The 13,499-nt window shown below is 38.7% G+C and overlaps 1 protein-coding gene and 1 long non-coding RNA gene across 12 annotated transcripts in view, besides 1 other annotated feature; both read right to left on the bottom strand.

Moving 5' to 3' along the window:
* Positions 1-13,499, bottom strand: part of HECW1 (HECT, C2 and WW domain containing E3 ubiquitin protein ligase 1) — a 453,355-nt gene that overhangs the window by 424,985 nt on the left and 14,871 nt on the right. The gene's annotated exons all lie outside the window — the stretch shown is intronic.
* HECW1-IT1 (HECW1 intronic transcript 1) overlaps positions 1-13,499 on the bottom strand; it is a 45,292-nt gene that overhangs the window by 22,171 nt on the left and 9,622 nt on the right. The gene's annotated exons all lie outside the window — the stretch shown is intronic.
* Positions 1,876-2,472: an enhancer, noted in NCBI's record as "OCT4-NANOG-H3K27ac-H3K4me1 hESC enhancer chr7:43178144-43178740 (GRCh37/hg19 assembly coordinates)". NCBI's record gives its function as "activates a minimal SCP1, AML or CMV promoter by ChIP-STARR-seq in primed H9 embryonic stem cells {active_cell/tissue: H9 hESC(primed)}" and the evidence as "EXISTENCE:reporter gene assay evidence [ECO:0000049][PMID:30033119]".

Genomic DNA, 13,499 nt, shown 5'->3' with positions numbered 1-13,499 from the left:
CTTCTAGGGAAGTAATTATGATTAAATGAGGTCAGAAGGGCAGGGCTCTGATCCAATAGGACCAATGTCCTAGGAAGAAGGGACCCCTGGGAGCTCTGTCTCTCTCTCTGCTTCTGTCTCTGTCTATGATGGAGAAGGCCACGTGAGCAGAGTGAGGTGGTGGCCACCGGGAAGCCAGAAAGCAAGCCCTCACCAGGAACGGACTCAGTGGGAACCTTGACCTCAGACTTCCAGCCTCCAGAACTGAGAGAAAATAAATTTCTGCTGAAGATGCCCAGTCTGTGTCATCACTTACAGCAGCCGAGCTGATACCGCAAAAAGGGAGCATTTGCATTACTTTGGGTTCTCCTAATCTCGTGGGAGAATACTGAGCACGATATATTGAATCATTGAATCACGTAATTTAAGACTAGAGGATCTTTTGGGACGCCATTTAGAAACTACCTTCAAAAAGTAACAAAAGAAGATAAATGAGGGACCACGAAGGCCAGAAACGATGGATTCGATGTGTGGTTCTTCACGGTTAATGAGTGTGACGGAACAGCATTACTTCAGCACTTAGATATACCCTTAACCAATGGGAAATAGCTCACAGTAGGATTTTTTTGGAGAACTGACAAGAAAAGAGACAGGAGACTTACGAGGGGGCACAGTCGCTCATCAGTCAAGAAGCACCTCTATGGCCTGGGACCTCCCTGCTAGTCCTGTGAGTCCACTAACTTCAGCAATCCCTTCATCCCTGCTTCATGTACTGTATAAAGATGTCAGCATAAAAATAATCAAATTCAGAAGAAATGGAAAAAATTTAATGAGGAGAAATATAGATGAAACAGAGCCAAAAAAGGATGTCAGAATCCAAAATTCCAAAGTTTCAAGGTGAATGGGGAAAAAATATGAAACAAATAATCAAAAATATTAAATAAGTATAAATTTAACAATAAAAAGATGACAAAACAACTTAAAATGTAATAATATTCACATTGCAAATAACCTTTATTAGACATTTCTTATCTAGCTAGGCACTGGGCTAAGAACTTTGGATGCATTTTCTCATTTAATACTTACAACAACTTATCACCAAGTCCATTTCACAGAACAGAAAACTGAAGCTTTGAGAATGGTTAAACAATTCACCTAAGACACCCAGACAGTAATGGTTGGGAAGGTAGTCAAAACCACATAATCTGATCCCCAAATTTGCCCTTTTTCCAAAGATGAAAGCCTCAAAATGAATAATGAAATAAAGCAATTAAGAGAAACGAAACCAAACTTGGATTAAGAAAGTAAATTAAAAGATTAGAAGCCGGGAACAATATAAAATTGTGTTAAATTTTTGAATGAAAAGAAATAAGGGAAAACTAAAAAGCAGAAAAATTAAGAAGGTATTATAATAAAATGGAGGTGGAAACAAAAAGAACACCAATTAAAATGGCACGAATCATGTGAAAACGCCTTGTTAAAACAATGCTAAAATACTAAATGTTATAGAAGAGAAAATATGACATTAATTAAATAGGAAAACAGGAGTCTCTAAGTAGGAAATGGATTCACAGCACGGTCTTCCTGGCAGCACAAAGGAATAGTTGCATGTTGCGTCTTTGACTCATCCTCTATGCAGGGGGTCTTTTGAACATTTCTGAGCCAAGCCAGTAGCATTTTAGTGGCCAGACAAGCTGTATGGCAAAACTTCCATTTTACTCTGATTACAGGATTTGCAACAGCCCAGGCTGAGGTTTGCCATGGTGCTCCCCATTAAACACTAGGCCTGAAAGATATTCTTTGAAGAACAAGAGTTTCATGCCAAATGCTTCTGGGGATGCTGTGGCAGCCCCCCTAGGGTCAGGTCAGTATTTCCCTCCTAGAGGCACCATTCACATCAGAGCTGCTCATTAAGAATAAAGAAGATATCATAATAAAATGGAGATGGAAACAAAAAGAACACCAATTAAAATGGCACGAAGGATGTGAAAACGCCTTGTTAAAACAATGCTAAAATACTAAATGTTATTAAAACAAACAAACAAACAAACAAAAAAACCAGTCTGTCTGCACAGCTGCACATGGAAACCTGGCCCTGGTGGAGCTTTACCATGCACAGCAGCCTGCCAAAGGCCTTGAGAAGTCCTGCAGTAAAGAAGCAAAGAAATCTGTTTCTCTTTGTTCAGGCCTCTTTATCTGACATTTAAAATCTCTCACCCACCCTTCCCCCTGCCCCTACCCTGGAATAAGCTCTATTTTCATCCTAAAACAGTTTTATGGAAAGCGCTTTGGAATACTCCGTCCTAAAACTGTTGCTTGAGGTTTTAGGTCACTTGGTCTAAAAGAGAGAGAGGGTTTTTACTAAGGCACAGAACACTAGCCTAATTGTCCAACTTATGTAAAAGCAAACGTTGTAGACATAGTTTGAGAAGATGATGATTCTATAGGGGTGGTAAATAGACTGTGCAGACAAGTACATATCCAGACAGAAAAGCAAGGCGTTTTTATAACAACACTTCAGAAATGTGGAAGAAAGGACACGACAATGAACTCCCCCAAAGCGACCCTCAACTCCTACTCCCAGAAGAAAACCACCCGGTGGTTCCTAATTAATTTACTGGCAGTGCTGGAGCAATCTGTGCTTTAGGAACTAAAATGGAAAAACAGACATAAAAACAAAACAAAAAACTCATGTTTTTAATAAAGAGATATTTAATCATCAGCATAGATTAAACCATTGACTACATAAGCCGAGAAAATGTAAGTTGAAATGATATCTTCACCAGCATCCAATAGTTCCTGAACAACTGGCTTATGCCAGTCCGGGCAGCAGCAATTCCAATCACTGAGAAAACATCTTCTTTCATTACCTCTCCCAGTTGGAGGGTTATTATTCTGACTTTTACAGCTAGAGAAAAAAATTCGAGGGTTATTATTCTGACTTTTATAGCATCTATTTATTGAACATTCTTTTGAGGAATCACACACATAAATGAGAGAGATGCAAAAGAATTTACAAACAAAGCCACTGAAATCATTTCCAAATGTGCATGTCTCTTATTCAGTATATAATGGCCGGAATCTTAAAAAAAAAAAAAAGTGTTGGTCAGAATAATATGACATCTGGATTTGAGCTGCATCTTTGGGAGGGAGTAAGATCTAAACAGGTGATAAAGAAAGCAGAAAGTGGCTGGGCACGGTGGCTCATGCCTGTAATCCCAACATTTTGGGAGGCCAAAGCAGGCAGATCACTTGAGCTCAGGAGTTCGAGACCAGCCTGAGCAACATGGTGAAACCCTATCTCTACTAAAAATACAAAAATTAGCTGGGCGTGGTGGCACATGCCTGTAGTTCTAGCTACTCGGGAGGCTGAGGTGGGAGGATCACCTGAGCCCAGGAGGTGTGGGTTGCAGTGAGCCGTGATTGTACCACTGCACTCCAGCCTGGATGACAGAGCAAGACCCTGTCTCAAATAAATAAATAAATAAATAAATAAATAAATAAATAAAAGAAGGCAGAAAGCATTCCAGGCAGAAAAGATATTATTTACAAGTTCCAAGAGCTGAGGATAAATATAGAATGGAATGTGCGGAATCTACTGATGAGTATCCATTTTAGAGAGAGGCAGGAAGGAATACTGGATGAATGATGAATGTGGGCCACATCTCTGGAGGGTCTAGACCATTTAATCATGGTCTTGGAACCTGAGCTGCAGATCACAGGGAAGAGACAGCAGCTCCTCAGCTAAGGGTAGCATGACTGAGGCTCTGCTGAAAGCATCACCCTGGGATTGACATGCCTGCTGGGAGGGAGGGGAGAGGAGATGCAGAAGAGATGAGCAGGAGTGCTCCTTCGGTGATTCAGACATGAAGCGATTGAACCCACCCCACACACTTGTGACAGCAGTGAGAATGGAAAGGAGGGAAAGTGGAATTCTGGATAACCTCAAGGGTATTTGGGTGATACATCTGTGTCTCACTGCTTAACTCTAACAGGTTGACCTGGATGGTGGGTCTAGTTGCTTAACTACAAGATTTAAGGGCAAGAAGAATTAAAATGTCATTACCAGGAAAAGTCATACTGTTGGCTTTGGGCATATTAAACTTGAGATAATAAAGGGTTTCTCAGCTGAAATGCCTTGAAAACAGTGGGATCAGTCTTAGGTTGGGAACATCCTGGGCTAGAGTCGGCCACCACCAGAACAAGTGAGAGTGGACGTGCATTGACTATAATGCTCCCCAAGGCACAGCACTGGGAATTGCTAATGCTGACCAATGTTTTGCAGCTCCCTGGGAAAAAGTTCTCTTATCTGCAGTTTGGATGGGTTGGATTGCAAAACTGTGATCTGTTTGAGAGGGTAATTTAGATGAAAACGGGCTGGAAATCTTCCACCTGTAGCCTACCACCCTATTTCAGATATGAGGCTGAGGCCACAGCCATACACTGCCAGAAAATGGGTTGTCATTCCTCCATTGTGGAAGGAGTGCTTCCAGAAGTGACCCGTTTTTGCCAGCTCTCCTTCCTAAGCAGTCTCTTTCTACAACTTCTGGGAGATGAGAGAACCTCCCTGTAATTTCAGCCCAGCTGAGGAAGGAGTGTGCTCTCAGCCCTGGGGCTGGAATTGGCCCCCTTTGGGAATGAAGAGCTAAAGAGCTCTGCAAGTGCATCCTCTTATATTATTACCCAGGAAACAACCCTTGTTCCAGTCATGAGAGAAACACATATAACAGCTTTGGGAAGCTACTCATTCAAAATAAGCCCTAGGAGATATGCCTCAATAGATAAGTGCCAACTAAGCATTAAAATTTGGCAAGGTCTAGAGCCCTCATCCTGTCTATAGTAGTATCAGGCGCCTCTGATTCAGGCAGAACCCACATAGAGACAGGACGAGGTTCTTCTAATAATTTAGTAAACATCAGCCTGGATTGTTTTACTGTCCAAAGGTGAATAAACTGAGAAAAAAAAAAGTTGAATACAGATAGGGAGTGCAATTCTAAGAATTTGGGGAAAATCACAGTTTGAAAAGGAGCTATCAGCAAATAGTAAAAAAAAAAAAAAGTGTAAATGGTATCTATTTTGCATCCTGAAAAAAATGTCATAAAAGCATAAAAGGCCTTGTGAAATCAGGTGAGAAATGATGTGAAAAATAACTTAATCTTGATTTTAGAAAAAACTTAAATTCAGAAATCAAACGAAATGAAATGCAAGTTGAAATGAAAAAAGATATAACTCAAATAGGGGATTAGAGCTATATCTTTCCAGCATGAAAATTAAAAGTAATAGAAACAAAGTCTGCTTTAGAGTGAAAATTCAAATCAGAGGTATCAAAAAGGAATAAAAACCTCTTTAAGAATATGAAAGAATGGGTCAAAGGAAAAAGCTATGCATGAAAAGATGATAGGTGTAGATGGATAATTTACCTTTATTGGCTTATCAGAGAAGTTATTTTGTTCAGACATTGACCAAACAAGCCATGAGCATTTCCTTAGTCAAGAGAAATATTTATTTTCTCTTATGTGGCAAGAAGTCCAGAGATGGACAGATCTGGGGTGGGAGGGCAGCTACATGATATTCTAAGAACCCCAGACTGTTTTTTTTAGCCCTAGCTCCATCAAATTTAGTGTGTGGCCCTCCTCCCCAGCTTCCAAGGTGGCTGCTGGCACTCTAGCCATTACAATAACATTCCAGATCTAACAGAGGAAGAGTAAGAGGTGAATGAGGCATGTCAGATGAGTCATCTCCCCTTAAAGAGCATTCTCAGGAGCTCCACCTGGCAGCTTCCAAATTTATCTCATTAGATTCAAATATGTCATATGACTACCCCCTCCCTGTAAGGAAGACTGGGAGATAAAGCTGTTAAGAAGAGACCATTCCCAAATTAAGTCGTGGCCCTGTTAGTAAGTGAAAAAAGAGAGGGAAGATATTGGTAGATAGATAACAGCCTATAACAACATCCCCGAGATAAATACAGTACCACAGGGGGAAGAATCAATACACAAAAATATAATAAGTAAAGATTTTCCTTCACAGAGTAGGCAAATCAGAATTCATGTTTCAGGTAAAGTCAACGAGAGCAAAAACCTATATACCTAGACATTTTAGCAAAATGCTCTGATACATTTTTTAAAACTCTTAAATGTACCCAAGTAGAAAAACAATCCAGATTATCTACAAAGAATTTAAATTTAGGCTGCCCTCAGACTTCTCCATGATCACCAAAGGTAGAATAATATGTCAAGAGTCTTGGGGAAAAAGTCACAACACAAAAATGATAGTCGCAGACAAAACATTATTTATTAAAGTAAGAAAAAAAAATCCCCCAAATATTGAAAGATTGAGGAAAATATGCCACTTAAAAACCTGCAGAAGCCCAGCATGGTGGTGCATGCCTGTAGTCCCAACTACTTAGGAGGCTGAGGCAGGAGGATTGCTTGAGCCCAGGAGTTCAAAGCTGCAGTATGCTATGATTGCACCACTGCATTCCAGCCTTGGGGACAGAGCAAGACCCTGTCTTTAAAAAAATTAAATTTAAATTTAAACATAAAAACACTTAAACATAGACTTTCCCAAAAATCTATAGGTGGGAAGTTCATTCCATTCATATTTTAAAACACATTTATTCTTTTTTTTTTTTTTTTTTTTTTGAGACAGAGTCTCACTCTCTTACCCACACTGGAGTGCAATGGTGCAATCTCGGCTCACTGCAACCTCTGCCTCCCGGGTTCAAGCGGTTCTTCTGCTTCAGCCTCCCAAGTAGCTGGGATTACAGGCATGCACCACCACGCCCGGCTACTTTTTGCATTTTTAGTAGAGACAGGGTTTCATCATGTTGGCCAGGCTGGTCTGGAACTCCTGACCTCAGGTGACCCGCCCACTCCCAAAGTGCTGGGATTACAGGCTTGAGCCACCATGCCCGGCCACAAATTTATTCTTAAAATTTAAGAATGAAACACTTGGGCTATAAAAAAACATAATTTAGGTAAGTTTGAACAAGTTAGAGAGGGCTTGTGACTAATTATATTTTCCGAAGATGGACACAGCTATATATCCTAGCCTACATGTGACAATGTACAGCTCTCTGTTGAGAAGAATTCTTAAGCTAAATCTAGACTTAGCAGAAAAGAATGACTTAAAATTATTGACATGCCAAGATGGGAATCAACAAATAAAGTTTTCATCCAAAACAGCATAAAAAGAAAAGTAAAAGACACTCATGAAAACTGTATTATTAAAAATATACATATATTTGAAAACAATAGATATAAGAAAGTACAAAATAAAGGAAATGAATATCAGCATTAGTTCTTGAGTTAAAAAAACAATAAAATAGACACATTTACAACTAATCTTAGTTGAAAAAGAGAGGGAGGAAGAGAGGGAGAGAGTAAGGGACAGAGTAAGGAAGGAACAGAGAAAGAAAGAGAGAAATATAAAATGTAAAAACAACAACAAAAGGAATTAAAGCTACTAATAAACAGGAAACTATAAAAGAAAAATGGTCAAAAACTTGAATTTAGAAAAATAGACAGTTTTCTAGGAAAAGATAATTTATTTGTCTCAACTAGAAATAAAAACTAAAGAGACCAATAACCATAAGATTAATGAATTAATTTATCAGATTGATACGGAAAAAGGCATAAAGCCCAAGGAGATTTTCCAGGGAATAATAATCACATGATATTCATTTCCCAGGAGAATTTAAAAAGTTTACCAATTCATTTTATAAATGTTAAATACATAGTATAATAAAAATGCAAACTAATCTTATTTATTCATTTATATATAAATGTGTATATATTTCATATGTAAGTATATCATATATATATAAAACTAAACACATTGAGTCATCACAGAATTGAAAAAATAATAGTGCTCAGGTTGGGTGTATTTGAAGGCTGTAAAGATAGTTTAATTCTAGGAAACTTATTAATGTAATTGATCATTTCATTAGGTCAAAGGAAAAAACGCACTAGTTAACTTCAGTAAATTCCCCCAAATTCAATGTTTAGACATGATTAAAACACCAACAAAACTAGAAATAGAATCATCCTTCTTTCTTATTAAAAAACTGAAACAAATAGCCCTTATTATTTAATAATGAAAAACTAAATCCAGCTTAATTAAAGACAAGAACTAAATAGAACTCTTCTTTCACCACATTATTTATTATCGTTCTAATTTTAGCCAATGTTATAAGCACCTCCCACCTCCAACTGAAGAAGAAAAGAAGGGAGGAAGGAAGGAAGGAACAGAGGAAGGGGAAGAGACCAGGAGAGTGGAAGGAAGGAAGAAAGAAGGGTCAAGAATTAAAGAAAAGTGTAAGCACTCAATTTCTTGTGTTAGAGATAACATAAAAGGCACTCACTGGGCAAAATTGGGTTAATTTGAGCACCATGAAGAATACTGATTGTATCACACTGAGTAAGTAAAAATCCTTAAGAACCCAGTGACTCTCTTCCCCTAAAGGGAGGGGTGGAGGAAGGGAGAGAGAGAAAGAGAGAAAGAGAGAGAGAGAAGGAAACTCTTGTTCACAGAAGAATGACCACTAATGAATGTGAAGGGAATCATATGATTGTAAAGTTACCATTTTGCAACCCCCAATGTAGATTTAGGGGCGATCCATTCGATGATACGACAATTAAGTGCAAGGTTATTGGGGAATAGGAATTTGTCCCTATTAGTAAGTGTGAAGACAAATTGTACTTTTTGATGGAGACATCTGAAGATCATTATTTTAACCAATAGGTCATCACAAATAAAATTAAAAGACACATCTTAAACTGCATCAAAAATGATAGTTAACATCTATAATATATAGACTTAATTCAAATTGGCAAGAGAAACACCAAAACCTTACTTGGGGCGGGGGGGCGCTGTGAGGGGCTGTGTGGAGATGCAAAGTCCCAGTACAGAGAATTTGCAGAAAATGAGATACAAACATGATCCTTTCACTAAGAGTCAGAGAAAATAGAGTGGATAGGATTGCATTTGCCTTTGCATCTGAACCTAACAACAGAGGTTTCACTAAACTGGGTATTTTCCCCACTCGATGCCCTTGTAACCCAGGCCCCCAGGCCACCTTTCCCTCCATGTGGAGTCCTCAGCATGCAGCTTTCAATCCTCGGTCATAAGACAGCAGGAGGAGACAGAAGGACAAAGGGTGAACACTTGTGCCAACTGAAAATGTCCCTCCTGATCAGGAAAACAACATCTTTCCCAGATGCCACTCTCAGGAGTCACCTGGCTGCACCTACCTGCAAAGAGCCCACCTCCAGTATCCCTCTTCCTTTGGCAAAAGAGCAAAACTAAAAGGGTTTAAATCATAGCGCTGAGCACTGACAAGTTGGAGTCTGGCACCTTCATAGAGGGTTGGAATACAATATATGTTGTTACAACTTTCCTGAAAAGCCACATTCTTCAGTATGTTTGAGGAAACCCCAGTGTACCTTTTGATTCATCAGTTCTGCTTTTGAGAATCATTTCTATGGAAATACCAAAAAAATGCAGTCAATGATTTGTATACACTGTATTAATCAATTCAATGTTTCTAACATCCACTCCTCTCAAAAAACAAAACAAAGGTACATTTAACTTCAGTGCCCAGTAATAAGTGAAAGGCTGAAAATGCAGGGTTGGTCATTGGAAAGCCCAGCAGTGTGAGCTGGTCAAGCCATAGAAACACTTCAGGTCTCAGTACTCCCATCTGTAGACTGAAGTTAATAATACTTTTCACACAAACTTGGAAGGATTAAATACAAAAAAAATTTTTTTTTGAGATAGAGTCTCACTCTGTTGCCCAGGCTGGAGTGCAGTGGCAAGATCTCGGCTCACCGCAACCTCTGCTCCTGGGTTCAAGCAATTCTCCTGCCTCAGCCTCCCAAGTAGCTGGGATTACACGCGTGTGCCACCACGCCCATCTAATTTTTGTATTTTTAGTACAGATGGGGTTTCACCATATTGGCCAGGCTGGTCTTGAACTCCTGACCTCCAGTGATTCACCCGCCTTGGCCTCCCAAAGTGTTAGGATTACAGGTCTGAGCCACCATGCTCAGCCAAATAAAATTTTATACATAAAACATACAGTAAAGTGCCACACTAAAGAATCAATGCATAATAGATACATACATATACACAAAGTACTAAGTAGATTATTGTATACCCAGTTATTAATACAGGTTGAGCATTTCTAATCCAAAAATCTGAAATCTGAAATACTACAACGTTTGAAATGTTTTAAATGCCGACATAATGCCACAAGTGGAAAATTCCACAATGGACCTCATGTGCCAGGTCACAGTCAAAATTCATGTGCACCACACACAATTGATCCAGCCTGCTGATGTTTGTTGTCATTGTCTAACAGCTGATACAGGTATTCTGGTGATGCTACTGTGTTGCTTAGTTACCTGGAACACATTGTTTATCACTATATTAATGATATGCCATATTGTTTTACTGTTGAGTACTGAAGTGCGAATAAGTGTAAGAAAATGATTACTTATCATTTTCTTTGTAGCATACAAATTCTGAGTCAGGAATGATGGTGATGTCAAACACCCACAGACTGTCCACATGGGTGCCTGAGATAGTGACACCCTTGCTTTCTGACGGTTCAATGTACACAGACTGTATCATGTATAAAATTATCAAAAATATTGTATAATTACCTTCAGGATATGTGCATAAGGCGTACATGAAACATAAATGAATTTCACGTTTAGATTTAGGTTCCAGCCTCAAGATACCTCATTGTGTATATGCAACTATTTCAAAATTTGAAACACTCTAGGCCCAAGCATTTTGGTAAGGGATACTCAACCTGTAATATACACTTATACAATGTCAAAAAATCTCTGAGAAGAAAATGCATCTAATATATTGCTAAATGAACATAGGTGTTTTTGAGTGCTTAAAATCACACCTAGAATTATGTAAGTCAAAGCTTAAAAAAAATTGTATTTATGGTGTGATTTCATATTGCAATGTATACAATCAGCCTTTCTAATCTAAAAGTTCTGCATTTGTAGATTCAACCAACTGCAGATTGAAAATATTTGAGAAAAAACTGCATCTATATGAACATGTACAGACTTTTTCTTGTCATTACTCCCTAAACAATATAACCCCTATTTACATAGCATGCACATTGTATTAGGTATTATAAGTAATCTTGAGATGATTTGAAGTATACAGGAGGATGTATGTAGCTTATGGGCAGGTACCACACCATCGTATACCAGCGACTTGAGCATCTGTGGATTTTGGTATTCACAGGAGGTCCTGGAACTAATCCCCCATGGATACCAAGGGACAACTGTATACGGTTAGAGGAAATTAAGACACCAGTGGTTTGTCCAGCTAGTCATTGCATTACAGATGGTTATTTTGTCCTTTATCCGTTTTGTTTTTGTTTTTCAATTACCTATTTAATATAAGCATACCTCAGAGATATTGCAGGTTCAGTTCCAGACCACTGCAATAAAGTGACTATCTCAACAAAATGGATCATACAAATTTTTTGCTTTTCTGGTGCACATAAAAGTTATGTTTACACTATACTGTAGTCTATTAGCAGTGCAATAGCATTATGTCTAGAAAAATAATACACACACCTTAATTTCAAAAATATGCTAAGAAATGCAAACAATTATCTATCTGGGCCTTCAGTAAGTCATAATCTTTTTGCTGGTGGAGTGTCTTGCCTCAGTGTTGATGGCTGCTGACTGATCAGGGTGGTGGTTACTGAAGGTTGGGTGACCGTGGTAATTTCTTAGAATAAGACAATGAAGTCTGCCCCATCAACTGAATCTTCCTTTCACAAAAGATTTCTCTGTAGCATGTGATGCTGTTTGATAGCATTTTACCCATAATAGAACTTCTTTCAAAATTGGAGTCAATCCTCTTAAACCCTGCTGCTGCTTTATCAACTATGTTTATGTAATATTCTAAATCCTTCGTTGTCATTTCAACAATGTTCACAGTATCTTCACCAGGAATAGATTTCATCTCAAGAAATCACTTTCCTTGCTCATCCATAAGAAGCAACTCCTCATCTGTTAAAATTTTATCATGATATTGCAGCAATCAGTCACATCATCATGCTCCATTTCCAATTCTAGTTCTGTTGTTATTTCCATTCCATCTGCAGTGACTTCCTCCACTGAGGTATTGAACCCTTCAAAATCATCCATGAGGGTTGCAACCAATGTCTTCCAAAGTCCTGTTAATGTTGATATTCTGACCTCTTCTCATGAACCTCAAGTGTTCTTAATGGCATCTAAAATGGTGAATCCTTTCCAGAAGGTTTTCAATGGACTCTACCCAGATCCAGCAGAAGAATCACTGTCTACAGCAGCTATAGCATCAAGAAATGTATTTCTTAAATAATAAGACTTGAAAGTCAATATTACTCCTAGATCCATGGGCTGCAGAATGTGTTATCTTGGCAGGCATGAAAACAACATTCACCTCCTTGTATATCTTCACCAGTGCTCTTGGGTGACCAAGTGCATTGTCAATGAGCAGTAATATTTTGAATGGAATCTTTTTTCTAAGTGGGTTTAAATATTTAGTAGACCATGCTATAAACAGATGTGCTGCCATTCAAGCTTCATTGTTCCATTTACAGAGCACAGGCAAAATAGATTTAGCATAATTCTTAAGGGCCCTAGGATTTTTCATATGGTAAATGGGCATTGGCTTCAACTTAGTCACCAGCTGCATTAGCCCCTAACAAGCAAGTCAATGTATTTTTTGAAGATTTGAAGCCAGGCACTGACTTCTCTCTAGCTATGAAAATCCTACATGGCAACTTTTTCCAATAGAAGGTTGTTTTATCTGCATTGAAAATCTATTTTTGGCCAGGTGCGGTGGCTCACGCCTGTAATCCCAATAATTTGGGAGGCTGAGGTGGGAGGATTGCTTGAGCCCAGCAGTTCGAGCCCAGCCTGGGTAACATAGTGAAACCTCATCTCTACATAAAAATCAAAAAATTAGCCCAATGTGGTGGTGCGCACCTGTTGTTCCTGCTACTCAGGAAGCTGAAGCAGGAGGATCATTTGAGCCCAGGAAGCCGAGGTTGCAGTGAGCTGTGATCATGCTACTACATGCCAGTCTGAGTGACAGAGCAAGACCTTGTCTTTAAAAAAAAAAAAGGAAAATCAATTTTTAATGTAGCCACCTTCATCAATGATCTTACCTGGATCTTCTGGACAATTTGCTGCAGCTTCTCCATCAGCACTTGTTGCTTCATCTTGTACTTTTATGTTTGAAGATAGTGTCTTTCCTTAAACCTAATGAACCAACTTCTGCTAGCTTCAGACTTTTCTTCTGCAGCTTGCTCATGTCTCTCAGCCTTCATAGAATTGGAGAGAATTAGGGACTTGCTCTGGATTAAGCTTTAGCTTAAAGGAATGCTGTGTGGCTGGTTTGATCCTCTATCCAAAACCATGAAAACTTTCTTTATATCAGCAAGAAGGCTGTTTGTTTTCCTTTTTTTTTTTTTTTTTTTTTTTGAGATG

This window comes from Homo sapiens, chromosome 7 (genome assembly GCF_000001405.40).
Source record: "Homo sapiens chromosome 7, GRCh38.p14 Primary Assembly".
Classification (NCBI taxonomy): domain Eukaryota; kingdom Metazoa; phylum Chordata; class Mammalia; order Primates; family Hominidae; genus Homo; species Homo sapiens.
Note: the sequence above shows the minus strand (reverse complement) of the source record. Positions and strands in the feature narration are given on the sequence as shown.